This window comes from Homo sapiens, chromosome X (genome assembly GCF_000001405.40).
Source record: "Homo sapiens chromosome X, GRCh38.p14 Primary Assembly".
Lineage (NCBI taxonomy): Eukaryota > Metazoa > Chordata > Mammalia > Primates > Hominidae > Homo > Homo sapiens.
The window spans coordinates 68570465-68572200 of NC_000023.11; the positions used below are offsets into that span (position 1 = coordinate 68570465).

The following is a 1736-nucleotide window of genomic DNA, read 5'->3' on the forward strand; positions in this document are numbered from 1 at the left end:
GTTAGGAAGGGCTTATCTCAAAGATATTTTTGGACAAAGCTTTGGTGTAATGGTGTAATGGGGTAAACCTTAATAAGAATCAGAGAACACTCACAAAGTTTTAAAGAGAATTATATTTATGGGAACATTTCCAGCCTGAACTGAAAGGGGCAGAGACAATACAAAATGACAAGAGACCTTTGGATCTCCAAAATTCTACTGGCAGGAAGAAAGCTGAAAAAATCATGCACCTGGAAACAGAGTGTTTTTTGTGGAAAGGAAAGATGACTCAGAGGATAGAACCAAGAGCCCAGGGGGGAGAGCCAAGAGGTGCAGAGAATTATTCCCAGACCGAGTCCTAATCAAGGAACTTGCAACATGTCCTTAGGTATATTTCAGAATTGTTTATGGAACAGCGACTCCTTTGTGCCTGTTTTCCCCTTTCCTTGTACAGTAATGTCTGTAGAGGTTATTCTACTCATTCCCACCATTGCATGTTGGGTGTATCCGTGGCCGATATCTTTTCTCTTTGGTTCACAGGTCCTCAGGTTGAGAGGAACTGTACTCCAGAAGCTATACTTAAAGAACTACATCTGAGGAGCATTATGTGCACCTGGACCTGGACCTGATCTCAGTGATGAGAATCTAGACTTCAAACTGATAGTGTAATGGGATGAGACTTTTAGGGGCCTTGGGAGGAGTGAGTGTACTTTGCATATGGGAGGAATATCAATAGTTGGTGGAAAGAGGGAGAACTGCAGTAGCTGTGAAATTTGTCCACAAATTTTTTGCTACTCCTTCCTTTCAAAGGAAGACCCTATTTCCCTTCCCCTTGAGGGTGAGCTGCTTTTACTGTCTTGTTTCTAATGAATAGGATAAAGAAATTCATCAGTGACTCGCTTCTAACGAATAGAATAAAGCAAAAGTGATTGTGACATTTCAGAGACTAGATCATAAAAAAGACAGTGCGGCTTCCTCTGTGCTCCCTCTCTAGTGGAGCACTCACTCTGGGGTAAGTTAGTTGTCATGTCCTGATGGCATTCAAGTAACCTATGGAGAGGCCCACAATTTGAGGGACTGAGGTCTTCTGCCAGCAGCCACATGACTGAGCCATCAGTGAAGCAGATCCTCCAGCTCCATGCAAGCCATCAGGTGACTGCAGACAGTGGCAGATTTGATAGATGAGACTTCTTTCTAGGCAGGCTGGCCACCCTTTTCTTGAAAGATTCTGTGTGGTTTCTGGCAGCTCTCTGTGTGTGAGCAGGGAGGGGATGGCCAAACTTCCGCTGTCCTGGGCAGAGCACACCAACATATCTACTCTATCTTTTCCAGGGGAAGGGTGGATTAACTAGCACAGGTCTTGTTTTAGAATGATAGCACCAAGCAAGGAAATTCTAGGAGGAGTTTTCAAGCTCCTCTACTCTCAATATGGAAGGCTGACTAAACTGGTGACTTTGAGTGTGTGTGGGAGCCACCTAGTATATCTCATGACTCAGAACTTACATGAGTCACTTCTAAGGCTAATAATGAGCTTGCAAGGTTAGAAGGGCTGTGTCTCCCTAAAGTCTGCTTTTAGACACACATGCACCAGCCTTGTGCCTGTTCTAGGATAGGTTGTGTGCTTTGTCTTGGGTACCCTGCTATCACTGTTGAGAAATTTCTCAGTCCACTGGGAGAAGAAAATTGTTCATTTCCATGCTCACACTTCCTCTGCTCTCTCTGTCCTGATTGGCTAACCATGGTACTGGGGTGAGAAA

General features: G+C 44.4%; 3 annotated features.

Moving 5' to 3' along the window:
- Window positions 1143–1437: an enhancer, noted in NCBI's record as "tiled region #12156; K562 Activating DNase matched - State 5:Enh". NCBI's record gives its function as "activates a minimal TATA promoter and a strong SV40 promoter by Sharpr-MPRA in K562 cells {active_cell/tissue: K562}" and the evidence as "EXISTENCE:reporter gene assay evidence [ECO:0000049][PMID:27701403]".
- Window positions 1143–1456: a biological region, named in NCBI's record as "Sharpr-MPRA regulatory region 12156".
- Window positions 1207–1456: an enhancer, noted in NCBI's record as "active region_29726". NCBI's record gives its function as "activates an Ori minimal core promoter by ATAC-STARR-seq in GM12878 lymphoblastoid cells {active_cell/tissue: GM12878}" and the evidence as "EXISTENCE:reporter gene assay evidence [ECO:0000049][PMID:35858748]".